A 19,654-nucleotide genomic window follows, 5' to 3' on the forward strand; every position below is an offset into this window, starting at 1 on the left:
CTGGGCGGTAGATGCACATTTGTGATCATTTAAAGATTTATTTCTCTTCTTTAAAATGTACATATACTTTATATAATTTCTTTCATATGTGTAATATTTTGCTTTTCCTAAGTTAAAAAATTCAAAGAATACAGATAAGTAAAAACATTTCCTTTTAACCAAGCCTCCCCTAGTGTTAACCACTCTTACCAGTTTTATGTGTACCTTTCTAAATTTGCTCTATGCACTAACATACATATATCTGGCCAGGCATGGTGGCTCACGCCTGTAATCCCAGCACTTTGGGAGGTCGAGGTGGGTGGATCACCTGAGGTCAGGAGTTCGAGAGCAGCCTGGCCAACAAGGTGAAACCCCATCTCTACTAAAAATACAAAAATTGGCCCAGCATGGTGGTGGACGCCTGTAATCCTAGTCCTTGGGAGGCTGAGACTGGAGAATCGCTTGAACCCGGGAGGTGGAGGTTGCAGTGAGCCGAGATTTCACCACTGCACTCCAGCCTGGGCAACAAGAATGAAACTCCATCTCAAAAACAAAACAAAACATACATATATCTGTAGAAGTATATAGTTTTTTTGTGAGGTGGGAGTTAACATAAATAGTATTAGACCAACAGTCTTATTTTAGAATTTGCTTTTCTCCTTAATAATACCTCTTAGCAAGCTTTACACATGAGTACATGGATATCCAGCTCATAATTTTTATGTGCTGTACAGTATTACATGATTTGGGGACATTCTTTATTTTACCTTACTTTGGGCTGTGCAATAGTAACAAGCAAACTTAGAATCTTGTTAGCTTATAACAAGAACTATTTACTTTTATGCTCGTGCTACCTGTCCACTGAGTTGACTGAAAGCTCTGTATCATACTTCCTTACTCTGGGACCAGGCTGATGGAGTAGCCACTACAGCAAACATTGCTGGTCACTATGGTGTAAAGGGAAAAGAGCTCTGAAACATCTTACATGGGCAGTTAAATGCTCTGTGTTACAAGTACATCTACTACTTCCACTCACAACTCATTGGCCCGAACCAGTTGCAGGGCACCATCTAACCGCAAGGAAGTAGGAAATGCCGTGCCACTGTGCGCCTAGGAAAGGAGCAAGCCAGATCTATTTGGTAAGTAGTACTGATGACTACCTCACCCTGTTGATGGTCTGGTTTTTGTTTTTCTTTTTGTTTTTTTAGGTTTAGACCTTTAATCTCTCCAGAGGTTTTTTTTTTTTTTTTTTTTTTTGAGACGGAGTCTCACTCTGTCACCCAGGCTGGAGTGCAGTGGCGCGATCTCGGCTCACTGCAAGCTCCGCCTCCCGCCGGTTCACACCATTCTCCTGCCTCAGCCTCAGGCGCCCACCACCACGCCCGGCTAATTTTTTGTATTTTTAGTAGAGACGGGGTTTCACCGTGTTAGCCAGGATGGTCTCGATCTCCTGACCTCGTGATCCACCCACCTCAGCCTCCCAAAGTGCTGGGATTACATGCGTGAGCCACCGCATCTGACCTAATCTCTCCAGAATTTTTTAGTGTCTGGTTCCAAATGCATAGTAAGTTTTCCCAACAGTATTGACTTAAAAGTTCCCTATTTGTTGAGAATTGTGTTTGTTTTTAAGCAATAAAGACTAAAAAACCCCAGCGGGTTAAACAAATTAGGGGTTTTATTTGTTCTTACATGAAGAATCTGAGGGGACACAGTCTGGGGATGGTGCTATGATGTCATTAAAACCCAGCCTTCTCTTGACTTGTTGCTCAGCCATCCTTAAGACATGGCTGTCTCTACCTACAAGGGAGAGCTAGAGAGATAGGGTTTTCTTAAAAAGATAAAAATAAAAAAGGACATATTACCATTACCGGAAAATGTTTGTATAATTGTGTATGTATGTGTGTGTATACGCTTGTTTCTGCACTTCCTACTCTGCTGTATTTTCTTATTGCTTATTTTTCATGATCGTTTTTAGGTTTTTTTTTCCATTTTGTTTTTGTGTCAAATTTCAAACAGCTTGTCAAGTTTTATTAGAGAACTAACTTTATGGCTTTTCTCCTTGAAGTCCTCTTCTCCCTCCTCTCAGCAAATGGCACCACCATCCTCCCAGTTCTTTAGTCAAAAAACCCTGTGAGTTATCTTAAGCTCTATCTCTCACCTTCATCTAATCCGTTAGCAAGTCCTACGGCTGCTGCCTCCAAATTATATCTTGAATCTGATCAATTCTGACTTCCTCCTTCTCTGCTACTCTAGTTCAAGCTGCTGTCATCCCAACATTACTACTGAGAGAGTCTTCTAACCAGTCCCCCTGCCTCCACATTTCCTACCCTCTCTCCCACCAGCCCATTTGCCGCACAGCAGCCTAAATGGTCCTCAGATGATGTCACTTCCCTGCTTACAACTGCCCAAGGGCTTCACAATTAAATCTAGAATCAAATGCTTCCCCATGGCCTAGAATCTCTACACATTTAGCCCTGCTAATTTACTTTATCACATTTAGCCCTGCTAATTTATCTTCCCCAATGCTCTCTCTTTCAACTAGGTTTCAACCATAGTCCCTTTATTCTGTCTCTTTAGCTGGCTATGATCATGGTTGATTCAGGGCTCTTGCTCTTCCTGTTGCTTGGAAGGCTGGGGCTTCCCAGATATTTGCATGATTGACCAATTTGCGTAATTGAGGTTTGACCTTACATGTCACCTCTTCTGGGAGGCTTTCTCTGATTCACTCTAGTTAAAATAGAGTCCCATCCCCTCCCCCACTGCAGTGCTTTTGTCAGTCTCCATCAATTATCTATTCTCCATAACACATGATCATCTGAAATTATCTTGTTTATTTGTTTATATACTTATCTTCTCTCTCCTCCCTTGCATTAGAATCTGGAGAGCAGGGACTCTGTGCTATTCACCATTATATCTCCAATGCTTAGCAACTGACTCATAATTAAATGTTATATAAAATTTGTTACCACCTGCTTTTGATTGGCCCTGAATTTAACTTACAGATTAAATTAGGAGTGAATTGGCATTTTATAATGCTATATGTCTTCCTTTATTTGATTATTTTTTTAAGGCCAGCAGTAAAATTTTATTATTTTCTCCATACAGAAACTGTGCATATATTATTGAGTTTATTCCTAGATATTTTATAGTTTTATTGCTACTGAGAATGGGGTCTTTCTCAGTTATTGTTCTCTAAGAGGAATGCTACTTATCTTTGTATGTTGATCTTGCAACTGGCCACAATGTAAATTCTGTTTGTCATCCTATTCTCTGGGTTTCTCATCTGTACATTTTCTTGCCTTTCCCTCTGACTTGGGACTCTTGGATGACTGTCTTGTATTTTTTAACTCCCTGGATGTTATTTAAATTAATATTTAGTGAAATCTTTGTGCTATAAATGTACTGATTTGTTGTTCTGGATTACAGCTAAAAGGCTAAGTCCCTCCTCTTTTCTTAGGGGAAATTATGTATTCTTTCAGTAGGCTATGTCAGATATCAGGCTATTATGAACCTGTAATGATAGGATTCTGGAGACTACTTGCAAGTAGGTGGGGTTAAAATTATCAGTAAACATCTGGGGAAATGCAAGGAGCTAATACTTTAAGCTGGGGAGAAGCTTAGATAGGTCATCAAATTGGCTGATGTTGGCCAGGTAGCTCCTGCACATGATCTAAGGAATGAAGGAACTCCTCCAAACAGAGATGGGAACTCTGTAGTTGAAACAGAGTAGGTATCAAGACTCTTCAGGGTCCTTTCTGCCCAAACTCCTAGGGAAGAAGCACATCAAGGAGGAATATTCTGCAGGAAAAGAAAGCTTCAGTCTAAGTGAAGGGCTCCCATAATCTGGACTCTTTGAAAAAGTTCCAGTCTTCCTGGAGGATAATGTGTCACCCTTTGCCCCCAATCAGGGTGACTCACCAAATGGTCCAAATCTTTCTGGAGGATAAGGTGTGTCAGCCCTTGCCCCCAATCAACATGACTCACCAGGCCCAGAATCAGCACCAATAAAACCTCCCTAGAAAGGCTCTCTTGACCTGAGACTGAGTCAGATTCTTCCACTGGACTTTCTTAGTAGCCTACTACCCTCCCAGTGCCTACTACCCTCCTGGTACCTGGCACAGGGCTTGGCTCATTGCAATTAATAAATATTTGCCTAGCTGATGGCATAAAGGTATTTTCTGAGTGGATAAATTTGATTTCTGTCAACCCATGGAATTAAAAGGTAGAATTTTTCAATACTGGATTCAAGAGAAAGTTGCATGATATGGTCCTGTTAACTTTAGTCCTTTCTTGCTTCTAGGTATTTATACTTCATACTGAGATTTCTGTGATATTTTCATGCAAAGTTATATGTATATTTTTGACTTAGCAAGTATTCAGTTAAAGGTTGGTGTACAAAAAATTGATGGGGAAACCAGAGTGAGCAATATTGAGAAGCCCATAGTCAACAACTAAGAAGTTTTCAATAGTTAACAGGGATTTATCCTGAAGGTTAGATTTTGAGGATTAGAGATGCTAATTTTGGAAAGCCTATGGCTAATGTGAATTCAGGGTACCTATTTTAGGAAGGTGCTGGAGTGGAAGAAGCCTAGTTACTAGAACTAGGTTTAACAATAGGGACTGGGACTTAGTAAAAAAGGCAACAGTCTAGTTGTTAAAATTAGGCTACCATGTTGTGATTGGATTCATGGTTAGGATGACTCTGGGCTGGATCTTAGAAAGGAGGATTGGAGCTGCTTAAGCATTTGTTGTCTTAGGTGAGGATTGAGACTACATGTAGCTTCTGAAAGAGGATCAGGTGACCTCAACTATGGGGAGGAGGGATTATAGGCTTGGAAACCATGCTGTGTCTGATACTAGCAATTGAAAATGGCAAATAGGGTTACTATGTTCCTTCCTACACTCATAGCAGACATTGTCAATTGAGCATAGCAGTCTTTTCTATGGAGCCAAGAAACAACTGTAGACTCCCTGTAGACTTTCAAAACAGTTACTAATAATAAATCTGATTTGACCTGCAAATATAAACCTACTGCCATTCCTCTGACCAATAATAAAATCACAATAGCTGCCATTTACCAAGTGCCTAACATATGCTGTATACTTGGCTGTGTTATATCTCATTTATTCCTTATAATAACCCTGAGAGACAGATAATATTATTTCCCAATTTACAGATTAAGAAGTTGAGGGTTTTTTTTTGTTTTGTTTTGTTTTTTTGAGACAGAGTCTCACTCTGTCGCCCTGGCTGGAGTGCAGTGGCGTGATCTCTGCTCACTGCAAGCTCTGCCTCCCGGGTTTCACGCCATTCTCCTGCCTCAGCCTCCCAAGTAGCTGGGACTACAGGCGCCCACCACCACGCCTGGCTAATTTTTTTGTATTTTTAGTAGAGACGGGGTTTCACCGTGCTAGCCAGGATGGTCTCGATCTCCTGACCTTGTGATCCACCCGCCTCGGCCTCCCAAAGTGCTGGGATTACCGAGTCTCACACTGTTGCCTGGGCTGGAGTGCAATGTACGATATCGGCTCGCAGCAACGTCCGCCTCCTGAGTTCACGTGATTCTCCTGCCTCTGCCTCCCGAGTAGCTGGGATACAGGCACATGCCACTATGCCCAGCTAATTTTTTGTATTTTTAGTAAAGATGGAGTTTCACTGTGTTGGCCAGGCTGGTCTCAAACTCCTGACCTCGTGATCCACCCACCTCGGCGTCCCAAAGTGCTAGGATTACAGGCGTGAGCCACAGCATCCTGCCAAGAAGTTGAGATGTTAAATAACTTGCCCAGGTTCATACAGAGAGAAAATAGTACAAATGTGATCAGAAGCCAGGACTTCCAGAGTCTTGCTTGACCAGTTCAACCTAGAAAGTTTAATGCTTCAAACCTATACCAAGCTAAATTTGAGACTCTGATTTACTTTTGGAATATTTAATTCATACCCTGAAATGTCTCATGCTAGAGTTAATTTTAGCTATGCATTTGAAATAATTGTGTGCCCAGGTTGCACTATTGGAGGTAAGAGGGATAACCAATGGAGAATAAAAGTGCAAGAGCAGAATATTTGATGAAAATAATTTTATCTCATCTGACCCTTCGTTGGTGTATCTGGAAAGCCAACCCTGAGATCTTGCAGCAATGGGACAGGGCCTGGGAGTCTGGAAGGGCTTCTCCGTCTCTTGGGTGGCCTGACTTAGTGTGTCACTGTCACTTTAAATGTCATAACATTTCTTTTTCTCTCTCACCCTACCATTCCATTTATCTCTGCTTATTCAAAATTTCCCTTTGAAATTCCTTATTAAAAACACTTGTAATCCCAGCACTTTGGGAGGCAGAGGTGGAAGAATTGCTTGAATTTAGGAGTTTGAGGCCATCCTGGGCAACATGACAAAACTCTGTCTCTACCAAGAAAACAAACAAACAAAAAACCCCAGGTGTGGTGGTGCGGCTGTAGTCCCAGCTACTTGGGAGGCTGAGGTAGGAGGATCGCTTGAATCCAGAAAGTGGAGGCTGCAGTGAGCCATGATCACACCACGGCATTTCAGCTTGGATGACAGAGACCCCGTCTCAAAAACAAAACCAAACCCAAAGCAACAACCTGTCGGCCGGGTATATTAGTACCTGGTTAATTATTTACACAAGTATTTAACTTGGTCATGTATTTTTTCATGTCCTTTATGGAAGTGAAAACTGAATCATATTAATCTATTTTTGTGGTCATTATTTTTACTTTCATGCTTATCATACAGGAAGGAATTTTTTTAAAGATAAGAAAACAAAGAGTAAGGGAATAATTTTGCTGTTTATGTGAGTTCTAGCTTTCACTAAAATAGGATTAGTTTTACTTATATACTCCTAACAAATTTAATTGGAATACATTAAAAATGGCAGGAGATTAACTTTTCTATTATGATCAAATTGACAACCGTCATATTTCTAGAAGAAACGCTGAAACTCTGAAGGCTCTTGATTATATTTTGATGCTCCTTGACCATGCTGCAAATTTGTACAGAATTATTTTACTTTTAAAGTCAATCAATGCAAACAGGAGAAAGTTGACACGAGTTCCATCTACAACCTTGTGGTTTGGAACTGGGGACAGAGATAATAGAGGCTGGTGGGAAGGAACTTGATTGCCCTCAAGAAAAGATTTACTGTTGATTCAGGTTATAGAAAATCAAAAAGTGAAAACACAAACAAAAACGAAACCCAATTTGTGAAGTGAGAAACATGTTTATCTAGGCTCTAATATGTAATAATAGGTTAATCCTTTAAAATATAATACTAATTATTCCTGAGCACTAGCATTTTACTGACCTGACCTAATCAGACAGAAAATAGGAAAGGGGAAAGAAATAAATTGAAAGGAGTTGGGGCAAAAGGAGAAAAGCAAGGGGACAGAAGGAGAGTAGGATGGTGAAGAGAGAGAAGTGAAATGACATTAACTCTAACAACCCTCACTTTTGCTGTCTATTCCCTTTGGAGTCAGCAGGAAGTCATGACAACTGTATCAAGTACATGTTATTATCCCATTATATCTTTTTAACACTTTGGTTTCTTAGTTTATCCTTTAGAAAGGCTAGAAAGGAGAATGTCAGTGAGTGATAGTGGACATATTTGAAAAGTAGCTATGCAGCCCTTGGGCTCTTTCATCCTGAAATTAGCTCAAGCTTCCTCTCGTGAAGCCAGGCAAGTCTCAGTGGCCTGTTCTAAGATGACCGTACAGCCTAATTTTCTTAGGCCTGTTTACATCTGTTTGCCGGTGTACTCATTATTAGTACCGCTTTCGCTTTCAAAACTGTCCCAGTTTGGACAGATAGAAGATGTGAGCGACCCATAATGAGCCATGCTGGCTTGACACTGACTTGCAGCCTCCTCTTAAGTCTTGTTACCTTATCTATAACAACATTCATATTGTTAGTGAGTGTTGGTCTCTTTCATTAGATTGTTAGTTCCTTGAAAATGAAGACTGTTTTGATTATATACAGACAATTGCCAGTATCTTGAGTTATATACAGACATATTACACGCTCAATAGAAATGTACTGAATAAATGAATGCAGCGTGTAAAAATTGCATATGTATGTGAACAAAGAGAAAGAAAAGTGAGACTCATAATCACATTAAGTTTTAAATGTTTTAGATTATTTAAACATTTTTAAATGCTTTTATAATAAAATATTTCTTTTCTAAAATTGGAAGACTGTATAGAGCATTTTAAAAATATTTTTAAATGTTTCAACTTTTAGTTACTTCTTAAATGGTGAACCATCAGTAATTCTGAAAACAGAATATAGACAGTGCCTGCCATTTAGTGTATACTCAATAAATGTTGAAAGAATAATCAAAGATTTATCATGAGTTTGAAGAGAGATGAGGAGCTGTAAAAAATAAAGACCTATGAGAACCATTTGGATCATTATTTCACGGAAGTGAAAAAGGAACCAATTAGGTCAATGGTGGTCAGGTTGCACAGCTGAGTTCTTTTGGGCCCTGTTGCTGCTGACTAGGTAGACACCCAGGATACTGACAGCTTCGCAGGTAGCTGGGGCCAAAGATATCTGAGTCATCTGTCCCTAAATAAATCCCCCATCTTCACCAAGGCAAAGGGGTGCAACTATTGCTCCCAAGTTCCAGATATAGCCCTCAGGCTGCCCCTCTGGTGTGTTGTCTCTCTGTTCATCTTTATCTTATTGGGGGTGGGCTGGATAAAAATGCTGGGGTGTTGGGGAAGGGGTCCCACACATGGTGACTTGTTCTCCCAATGGAATACTTTTATGGGAATTATCAAATTGTTCCTCATCTGGAAAAGGTTAAGAATCACAGGTATTTAAAAATGTTAGCTAAGACACAAAAACTGTGAGAGGAGAGGGAGAAAACTTGTATCAACCAGGGGCCAGGCTCTGTGATAATGTTTTTTTCACATTTATTTTATATAATTATGACAACTATTTAATATTTAGTGAGTGCCAGAGGCCAGATTTGAACTCACATCCAATGATCTACCAATGTGAAAGTAAAAAAAACCTTTGGTGATGTGGGTGAAAGTGTTGGTTCAGTTTGATGGAAATGGCTCTGGGAAAATCTTTGTAGATTAGGATATATCATTCTTTGCAGCTTCAAAGAATCTCAACTAGGATAAAGAGTGACTATTGTTCAGGAACAGAGCGTATTTCTCATTACTGGGTATAGAAATACATGAGGTCTTGAATTTTTACTTGCAAAAAATAAAAAAAGGAAAGTTAAAAATTAATCCTGGCCTTAGTGGAGGTTACATGAGTGTTTTCAATTTTTGGTAACTCTTTGAGCTGTATATTGATGATTTTTGCATTTTTCTATATATGTGTTATACTTCAATTTTCCAAACATTTATTTTTAAAAAGACCAAAAAAGTTATTGTAGGGAAAGTAGGGGATGTTCCAAGTCTCTGTAAGCTAAGCAATTTATACAACCACATCCTGATTCTTCCTTCTTATCTGTGAAAAATAAAGATAATGGAATAAGTTGCACCTTCTTCCAAGAGATAAGTGTCTGTATTTTTGCTTGGTCCATACATGGTTGAGCTTAGGACTTTTTGCCTCACACCTCCATGGTAAGAAATTAAAGAAAATGTTTCTTTCATTCCCATATTTTAAAACAAATTTCCTGTGACACCACAGTTAGCCTGCCAGTAACTCTCTCACAAGTCTACCTTTATTTGCGTAATCTTAGAATGATTTACAGAAAACAAATACCTTGCCTTCCCTCAAGTTTGGCTGGGACACATGAATCCATAAATGTTTTGGGACAGTAAGAAAGGATATTGAAACATTTGTAGATTCTTTCATGACAATTAGCATTGACAAAGAAATTATCTTATTTCTTTTCACAGAAGAGAATCATATTCTTATGTGGATATAATATTCATGCAGAATTTAAGCCCTCATTTGTTTGGCTATCCCGAAAACAAGGTATAATTGGTCAGATGGGAGACAATGAAGGCATATATGTATGATCATGCTCATTACAGCAAAAATATATTAAAGGATGTCCCCAATACCAACGGTAGACCTCATAAAGCACTCAAATCATTGAGTTTATTATAAAATAAATGTTTAACTTCTTTCAAAAATTTTAATTGTTGAAATATGGAGGTGAGAAAGAGCTTAAGCAGTAGTGCAGTCAAAGTCCCTAAATTCACCTTTGGAAGTACGGACTTACCCCTAAGTAAGCTGAATTATTTTCTGTATTACTATGGACTACAGTCTAATTTTATTAGCTTATTTCAATTATATTCTTTTTTTAACATGTTATTTTGAAAAATTTCAAATCTAGAGGAAAGTTAAAAAATAGTAAAATGAACATTCAATACCTCTGACCTAGAGCCACCAACTATCGCCATATTTACACACACTTCCTCCCTCCCATATACATACATATCTTTGTGTGCATGTGTTTGCTGAGCCAGTTGAAATTAACTTGCTGATATCACCCCTAAGTACTTTAGCCTGTATCTCCTTGAAACAAAATCATCTTCCTACATAACAATTGAATTATTGCCTTCAAGAAATTTATCATTGATAAATAATACCATCTAATATACAGTTCATAATCAAGTTTCCCCAATTTGAATTTTCATAATTGTTATAGTAATTTCCTTAATCACTATTATTGACACAGGATCCAATAAAAGTTTACACAATGCATTTAGTAGTCATGTATCTTTTATTTAGAACATTCTTCCCCCGATCCTTTTTTTCCTTTCTGTCTTTCATGACATGGACCTACCTTGTAGAGTCCAAGTCTGTTGTCTTGCAGCATGGCCTATAATCTAGATTTATCTTATGGTTTTATCATGATAGTTCAAAATGTTTATGGAAGAAACCCCTACTTATCCATATACAGTTGGTTTTCCACATACATCCCCATATTTTCCCATTTCTAAGACTTTGCTCTCACAGACTGTTTCTTTCATGTATGCCCTCACGTGTCTCTACAAGGCCTGGTTCAATACTTAACCTTCTCCAGGAAGATTTCTCTGACGCCTTTCATTCTGAAAGAGTCTGTGAATACCTAGAATACATTAGCCTTTCTTTTCTTGTAGCATGTATAATTTTTTGACTTTGTATGTATTTTTATTTGGTCACATATCTTTTACCTTCTCCCCAGTGAAAGTCAACTAAAGGCAAGCCTAGTTTATCTTTGTGATCTCTCTGGCATCTAGCACAGACTAGGCCATCAATATGTTTATTTCCTGAATGGTTAGATGAATAAATCAATGAACAAATCAAAACAGTATCTTTAGCCTCTGAGATATAGTGAGTTGGTTAAGAACTTAATTCTTTATAAAAGGTTACAGAATTTCTTCATACGTGTGCTTTCTGCATCTAAAATAGTCTACTTATTTTGTGTAAAAACTCTAAATAAATTTTTAGTTTTAATAAGAAAACATGTATATCACATGGTATAGCTCTTTTAAAAATCATGTTGGTAAGCGTTGAGGGAAGTCTTTCAATCTGGCAAGTTCATTCTTTAGCTTTGGGAAGTGGTCCCATATTATTTCTTGATAATTTCCTCTTGTGCATATTTTTTTTCTCTCTGGAATAAGTCCTATAAATCAGACTTCTGAGTTAAGATTTCTGAGTTCATCCTCTATATGTCTTATCTTTTCTTCTGTATTTTCTATCTTCGACTTTCTGAAAGACTCCTTCAATATTGTCTTCCAGCCTACAGGTATTACTGATCTTTAAAATTTTTTGAAATTTGTGTTTTTAATTTTTAGGAGTTTTGTTTTTATTCTCTGAGTGGTCTGTTTAATACCATCCATTTCTTGTCTTATGGATGTAATATCTTCTCAAGTCTGTATAAAAATAGTAATTAGAATTTAATGAAAATGTTCTTCTGTTCCCTTCATTAGCTCTGTTTAAGCTTTCTTAAAAGTTCTTATTTTTATCTTGGTCTCTCTCTTATTCATATTGAAGGCATGCTATCCATTAAGTATAGAAACTTCTGTGCACTGCAAAGCTGATTGGGAATTCTATGTATGTGAGCAAGTTTGCCAACTGCCAGGTTGGCTATAGGTTAATTACATGTTGACTTTGGCATTATGGTCAGAAACTCCCAACTGTCAAAACATGGAGATCTTTTTTCTGAGATCATTCAATTTCTTTAATAAAAAACTCTTCAGTATTTTGCCTGGGAATAAACATCTAGTTGCTGAAGACACCCAGCAGAGGGGTGTGTGTGTGTGTGTGTGTGTGTGTGTGTTCTGTTTATTTTGGCTTCTTGTTACCTTCTGCTGTTTTTAGTCCTTTATTTCACCCCTTCTGTCTGCCATACCTGTCACCTCTTGTCTATCTCCTCTGCATCAGCACTCCAAGCCTTGGCTTTATCCTGCTATATCAGTTATCACTCATTTTTCCATCTAGTTTCCATTTTCCAGAATTTTGTTAAAATTTCTGACCCTTTGATGAATTATCTTGCTGTTTTGTTATGGATTTATATGTTTTTTTTGTTTTTTTTTTTTTGAGACGGAGTGTCTCACTGTCACCAGGCTGGAGTGCAGTGGTGCGATCTCGGCTCACTGCAACCTCCGACTCCCTGGTTCAAGCGATTCTCCTGTCTCAGCCTCCCAAGTAGCTGAGATTATAGGCACGGGCCACCACGCCCAGCTAATTTTTTTGTATTTTTAGTAGAGATGGGGTTTTACCATGTTGACCAGGCTGGTCTTGATCTCCTGGCCTCATGATCCACCCACCTCGGCCTCCCAAAGTGTTGGGATTACAGGCGTGAGCCACCATGCCTGGCCTATATGTTCTTTTAATGCCTTTACCATTATTCTGTGGAGTCTTGGGAAGGAGAGGAAATAAATGCATGTTTTTATTTGCCATCTTTAATTGGACTGCTTAATGTAAAACTGTTCGTGTTATAAATTCCCCCTCATATATTTGGTTTTGTGACTGCAGTAGTGTAAATTCTCTGCCTAGAATTTTAAAGAAAGTGATTCTGTATGTGATTAGGGAGTAAGGTTCAGATAACCTTGAGTGGTTTAAAGTTTCCTACTGAGTAATCTGAACAAGGCGGATTTAAGATACTGCAGACAGAGTGTGAGAATAACTCTCTCTTCACAACTTAAGAAGCCTGGTTCCTTATTTACAACTGGGATAAGATAAATGGTTGAATACCTAGAGAAGTTCCACAAAAAGTTACACAAAAAGTTTAGTTAAATTTAAGTTAAAAGTTAGTTAAAATGAAAAGTTAAGTTTTTATTCTGCTACTAAACCATGCTCCTCTGCGTGTCTGAACCTTCAGGTTCCTCTAGATTTCTAGCACCTGAAAGAAAACAAAACTGCAGCATCAGCCAGGTAGGCCTCTCCTAATCTTACTCATTCACAGAGAATTTCCCCTTTGAGTCACCATGGCATTGGCTGGTTACTCATACCACAGATCCCTCAGGATTGGCTGGGACTGCAAATAAAATACTGTTTGCCCATAATCAAGTTGATAAGCTACAACATAAACACATCTAGGTTCTTGTTCTTAGAATACAGCATGAAGAATTTGCTTTCTTCTTTCTTCCTAACATTTTCATGTGAGATCCAGAAAGGACACATTGTCTCTGGCCATTCGAAGAAAGAAAGAAAGAAAAAAAAAAAAGGTATTTAGAGACAGAGAGAGAAAAAGGCTGAAATGGGTTCGCTGGGTTCTAAAAATCCGCAAACCAAACAAGCCCAAGTTCTTCTTTTGGGACTTGACTCAGCTGGGAAGTCTACTCTCCTTTATAAATTAAAGCTTGCTAAGGATATTACCACCATCCCTACAATAGGTTTCAATGTGGAAATGATCGAGTTGGAAAGGAATCTTTCACTCACAGTCTGGGATGTTGGAGGACAGGAAAAAATGAGAACTGTTTGGGGCTGTTACTGTGAGAACACCGATGGGCTGGTGTATGTTGTGGACAGTACAGACAAACAGCGACTGGAAGAGTCTCAGAGACAGTTTGAGCACATTTTGAAGAATGAACACATTAAAAATGTGCCTGTTGTTCTATTAGCCAACAAACAAGACATGCCTGGAGCTCTGACTGCTGAGGACATCACCAGAATGTTCAAAGTGAAGAAGCTTTGCAGTGACCGGAACTGGTATGTGCAACCCTGCTGTGCCCTCACAGGGGAGGGGCTGGCCCAGGGGTTCAGGAAATTAACTGGATTTGTGAAGAGCCACATGAAATCAAGAGGAGACACTTTGGCGTTCTTCAAGCAGAACTGAGGCTGCGAAAAATCCAAGTCTCTACAGAGACACTGATGAAGTTGAAAGGGTAATTGTTTTTCCATGCCAAATGAGGAAATCAAATTAATGAGTTGACAAACTTTTCCTGAGATGTTATTTCATCTACATTTAGTTAAACAACTTAGAATGATATCTAGAAAATATTTATTTTCAGCCAGGAACTTTAGCAAACTGTGGCAATGATCACTGGGAATGAAAACGTATAATGTTCTACAATTTTTGTTATCACATTGGATGACTTTGAATATAGTAGTGACACTTGGGACCAAATAAATTATTTTATATGACTACTAGAACAAAGTTTTAGTAAGCTGTCTGCTAATAGAGTCAGAATTCTTCCAGATTGTTTCCAGCTGTAACAGGTATTGAATTTCCACCGTGCTCCTATGTAACAGCTGGGTGGTGTAAAAAATGAACTTCAAATTATGGAGTGGAAAAAGCGTAATGTTAATATCTTGTAAATTCGTATTCCCTATTAAATAAAGCTTTCTTATTCCCTAAATAAAGCTGTTCTTCTGGATTCCTGCCAGCTTTTTGAAATCTATTGCTGGGAACTTCCTCCAATGAATCTTAAACAATGAACTTCAGGCTGCTAATTGCTCAGAGCCTGTGTTCTGCCATAGGGAGCAGAAGTGTATAAACTTAAAGGTCTGGTGATCGGGGTAGCACCTTGGAGTTTAGGGCAAGATCTGGGCTCAGGGCTTAGCTCTAGGCTACAGCCCCGAGTCTTGCTTCCTTGGAATTCAGCTTAACAGCCATTGCTTGGAAACATATGTGCAGCTCATTGTACTGATCAAACAGGAACCAGACCTAGACTTTGCTCTCAGAGACCTACAATTCACAGCAGGAAACAACATAAAGCTAGTAGCTAGAGTAGGGCAATAAGTGCTAAGTGCGATTGCAGGAGATACTCTTTTTAACCAGGGAAACAAGAAATGTTTCATGCAGGAGATGGTATTTTAGAGGGTCCCTCACTCCCAGTGACCCTACAAAGGTACAGGTTAGTCACTGGAAGTTACCATCACTAGGAAACTTTCCAGAGGCATTGGACAGGAGGGCAGGTGAGTGGGCAAAGAAGCTGGAGATTGGGATGGAATTCCCCTGAGAAGCTCAGAACTCCCAGGGAAGCCCTGGTACAAACAGACAACACTTTCCTCCTACCCCACTTCCAACAAGGCTCATTTGGGGCTGGAAGCAGAGCTCAAGCGTCCATAGCAGCCCCTAGGACTCCAAATCTTAAGGTCACAGAGGAAAAAAAGGGGTATAATAAACCAAGGGTGCCAGCCCTTGGATTCCTCTCATGATTTTCTTCTCTCATCTTAGCTATTTGTTCAGCAAAGATCTGAGCACTGCCTTCTGTGCTACATGGTAGAGATTCAAATAATAAACTAGACATACAAGTAATAATAGTTACTGTGGGATGAATACTTGTGGGTGCCAGGCACTGTGTGCTAAACACTTTCATACATCTTCCCATTTAATGTTCACAACTGCCCGAAGAGAAATAGGCATTATCTAAATTTTAAAGATGAGTGTACTGAGTCTAAACAAGATTACACAACAACCACCACAAAAAAACTACTTGGTATTTAACTGGGGAGTAGCAGCAGAGCCAAGATTCAAATTCAGGTGTGTCTGACTCCAGGGTCTGTGCTGTTAGGTGTCCTGACATTGTTTTACAAATAAGGTATAGTCTCTGTCTTCAGTGAACTTACCACATGCAATTAAGAATAAATCAGGTCAACATATATTACTTTTATAATAAAAAGGTTCTTAGAAAAATTAAACTAGGCAGAATAAATTAACTTCAATAACAGATATAAAAAACATGGAAGACTGGCAAAAAGTTTCTGATTTCAGGAAGATCTCAGGGGGTTGTCAATGTTAAACGTTTCATAGTAGAGCTTTTCCTGTTTCAGAACATAATTAAAATCTCAAGTACATATCTTCCCTTACAATTTCTCTGTGTGTGTTTTTATGGAATCTTCTTAGTAATCTTAAATTGGAAGTCACTAACTTACTTCAAAAAAAAAAATGCCCTCTGGTGCTCGTGTATCTTGGTAATCTGAATTAAGTCAAGCCCCTTATGGCCCAGTCTTGGCATGATGTTAAAAGTTGAAGAAAACAGCCTGTTAAAATACTGAAAGGAACTCAAATCTTCACTTCAGAAAGCCCCTGGGTGTATGTGTTGGGTGTGGTGGGCAAATACATTCTTCATGTAGAACAAAACTTATAAAGTAGCCTTTTCCTGTCATTTCAACATCTCCCCCCCATATAACAGCTATTCCTTAAAATCCCTGTTAATATTCTCCCCAGAACGTGTACCCTCCTCATGCTTTACTCCTTTCTTCCCTGGGATCCAGGGTTCCAGTCTATTTTCCTCCATCAGTCACTTGCTTTCTTTCTTTTTTTTTTTTGAGACGGAGTCTCACTCTGTCGCCCAAGCTGGAGTGCAGTGGCACGATCTCGGCTCACTGCAACCTCCACCTCCCAGGTTCAAGCAATTCTCCTGCCTCGGCCTCCCTAGTAGCTGGGACTACAGGTGCGCACCACCATGCCTGGCTAATTTTTGTATTTTTTAGTAGAGACAGGGTTTCACTGTGTTGGCCTAGCCGGGCTGGTCTCGAAGCTTTCTTTTTGAGTTAATTTTATCAGTCTTTATTTGGCAATTCCCTCCTGCTCTCTGCAGTATGATCTTGTCTGTCCTCCAACATGCACGCGCACGCACACACACACACACACACACACGCATGCACATGTGCACACACACAGCCGTGCACTCTTCACCCTGGTCTACTAATAAAGCCTGAGGGACGGGAAAAAACTAGGTGGACAATAGCAAAATATTTCTTGGCAGATGAGAGGAAAGAGGCTTGATATTTATTATTTTAATACATTTTATATTATTTTTATTTTGTGCATTCCTTCCAGGTGTTTATCTTTATATTTTTATTTTATTTTGTGTATTCGTTAAAATGAATTTTATTGTGTATATTTAAGGTTTATGTTATGATGTTTTGGGACACATATAGATGCTAAAATGATTACTATAGTAAAGCAAATTAACATATCTATCATCTCACATTGTGACTTTCTTGTGCGTGACAAGAGTAACTAAAATCTAATTACTAATTAACAAAAATCCCAAATCCCATGCGATTTTACTCTGTCATTTATCTGTAACAAGGTAAAACTTTTAACTTATCAAAATAGCATGCTGCCATGGATTTAATAGTAACAAAAGCATAACACTTCTGAAATATTCCTTGGCTAAAGATTTACAGAATAAATCTTAAATCTTTAACATTAAGGTAAATATCAGTTAAATTTTCTGAAAAGTGAATATCAGATAAATATTTCTATCTGATTTTCTAAGTATTGTAGATGAAAAAAATCTTGACAGGGCATAAGAATAAATAATGGTGAATAAATAAAACACACATAGTGACTGATGTGTGTGTGTGTGTATATATATACATATATATGCGCATATATACGTATATATGCGCACATATATACGTATATATATACATATATATTTTTAAGGCAGAGTCTCGCTCTGTCTCGCCCTGTCTCACCCAGGCTGGAGTGCAGTGGTGTGGTCTCAGCTCACTGCAGCCTCCATCTGTTGGGTTCAAGTGATTCTCCTGTCTCAGCCTCCCAAGTAGTTGACACTACAGGCGTGTGCCAGCGCACCTGGGTAATTTTGTATTTTTGGTAGAGAAGGGGTTTTCACCATGTCAGCCAGGTTGGTCTCAAACTCCTGACCTCAGGTGATCTGATCTCCTCAGCCTCCCAAAGTACTGGAATTACAGGCATGAGCCGCTGTGCCCAGCCATGACTGACATACATTAAAGTTAATTTGTCAGTTTAAAAAGCCGAACATGACTATGTTCTGATAATGAACAAACTGGGTTTTACGAAACTAAGGAAGACCAGGTATGGAAAGAGCCCTGCAGTTCTAGCTCCCGGTAGGTGGTACTGAGGGACAGTCTTGGAGGCCGACTGAATTCCTGCAGTGTGTTGACTATGTGGAGGAACTAACCTAAAAAGAGCGACCCTCTGCTGTGTTCTGCTTTGCAAACCTTGAGTTGGCCGGCTCTCGCTTGCATGAGCTCTCTCACAACAGAGATAGAGACAGACACAAAGGGACAGCCAGAAATAGAGAGACCTCCTTTGGCAGTGCCAATAAATATTTTTACGTAATAATATAACCTAATAATGTCACAGGGATTCCAGTCCACCAGATTTTTAGCGCAGTGTTGAATTACTTTAAGCATAAGATACCACACTTTACCTTGAAAGTACCACACAAATAGAAAAGATGGTTATTAGATGACTTAACCATATGAGCAGTATTTTCACAAATATTATCTCATTTTATTCGCTCAAAATCTTATGAGGGAGGCATAACAAATATCAACACTATTTTAAGGATATGAGGAAACTAATTAAGCAGTTACCAAACCTAGTCCTCTGATTTCCAAGATTAAACACACACACACACACACACACACACATAGGTCAGGCGCGGTGGCTCACGCCTGTAATCCTACACTTTGGGAGGCTGAGGCAGTCAGATCACGAGGTCAAGAGATCGAGACCATCCTGGCCAACATGGTGAAACCCCATCTCTACTAAAAATACAAAAATTAGCTGGGCCTGGTGGCACATGCCTGAAGTCCCAGCTACTCGGGAGGCTGAGGCAGGAGAATCACTTGAACCTGGGAGGCAGAGGTTGCAGTGAGCCGAGATCGTGCCACTGCACTCCAGCCTGGTGACAGAGCAAGACTCTGTTTCAAACAAACAAACAAACACACACACACAAGTAAATATTATGATACAATGAATTTAGCTATAATGTGGCACATATAGGTTTTACTATTAAATCTCTTTGTTTCTAGAAACTAAATGGGTCTAGGGGTTATGGTGTTTCTTAGGCCAAAAAACTAAAAGATATCTTCCTTTCCCCCTTGTATCCTACATCCACCAGTAAATCCTTTCAGTTCACCCTTCAAAATACCTCTCCCTTCTGACCACTTCTCAATCCCACTACCACGAGGCCACCACCAATTCTCACCTGGATGGCTGCATTCTCCATACAGAATTCTGCCAAGAAGGACTTCTTCTAAAAATGAACATCTGATTACATCATTTACCTGCTTTAAACCTCTCCATTCACTTCTTTCCCTAGCTGATGCCCACTTTCTACTTATCCCACCTCTCTCCCCATCCAGCCACACCTGCCTCAATGCCCTTCTGTCACTCCCAGCTCATTACTGCCCCACAGCTCTTAAACTTGCTGTTCTTCAACTTAGAATATACTTTCCTCAGGTCTTCAAATTTTGTAGGTCTCCAACCAAAAGTGTAGAGTAGAGGGGTGTTTTCTGAATCCTTATGTAAATGAGCCTTA

The 19,654-nt window shown here is 39.1% G+C and overlaps 1 protein-coding gene across 1 annotated transcript, besides 3 other annotated features; it reads left to right on the forward strand.

The window, feature by feature from the left end:
* Positions 2,359 to 2,408: an enhancer, noted in NCBI's record as "active region_20760". NCBI's record gives its function as "activates an Ori minimal core promoter by ATAC-STARR-seq in GM12878 lymphoblastoid cells {active_cell/tissue: GM12878}" and the evidence as "EXISTENCE:reporter gene assay evidence [ECO:0000049][PMID:35858748]".
* Positions 2,529 to 2,658: an enhancer, noted in NCBI's record as "active region_20761". NCBI's record gives its function as "activates an Ori minimal core promoter by ATAC-STARR-seq in GM12878 lymphoblastoid cells {active_cell/tissue: GM12878}" and the evidence as "EXISTENCE:reporter gene assay evidence [ECO:0000049][PMID:35858748]".
* Positions 12,942 to 14,141: an enhancer, noted in NCBI's record as "P300/CBP strongly-dependent group 1 enhancer chr3:160394435-160395634 (GRCh37/hg19 assembly coordinates)". NCBI's record gives its function as "activates an origin of replication core promoter dependent on BRD2, BRD4, P300/CBP, MED14 and CDK7 cofactors, with strong dependence on P300/CBP, by STARR-seq in HCT116 cells {active_cell/tissue: HCT116}" and the evidence as "EXISTENCE:reporter gene assay evidence [ECO:0000049][PMID:35650434]".
* On the forward strand, positions 13,455 to 14,743 carry ARL14 (ARF like GTPase 14). Its single transcript, NM_025047.3, has one exon. The coding sequence runs from the start codon at positions 13,642 to 13,644 to the stop codon at positions 14,218 to 14,220; it is 579 nt and encodes a 192-aa protein (NP_079323.1). The 5' UTR covers positions 13,455 to 13,641; the 3' UTR covers positions 14,221 to 14,743.
* Positions 14,744 to 19,654: the final 4,911 nt, after the last annotated feature.

This window comes from Homo sapiens, chromosome 3, assembly GCF_000001405.40.
Source record: "Homo sapiens chromosome 3, GRCh38.p14 Primary Assembly".
Classification (NCBI taxonomy): Eukaryota; Metazoa; Chordata; class Mammalia; order Primates; family Hominidae; genus Homo; species Homo sapiens.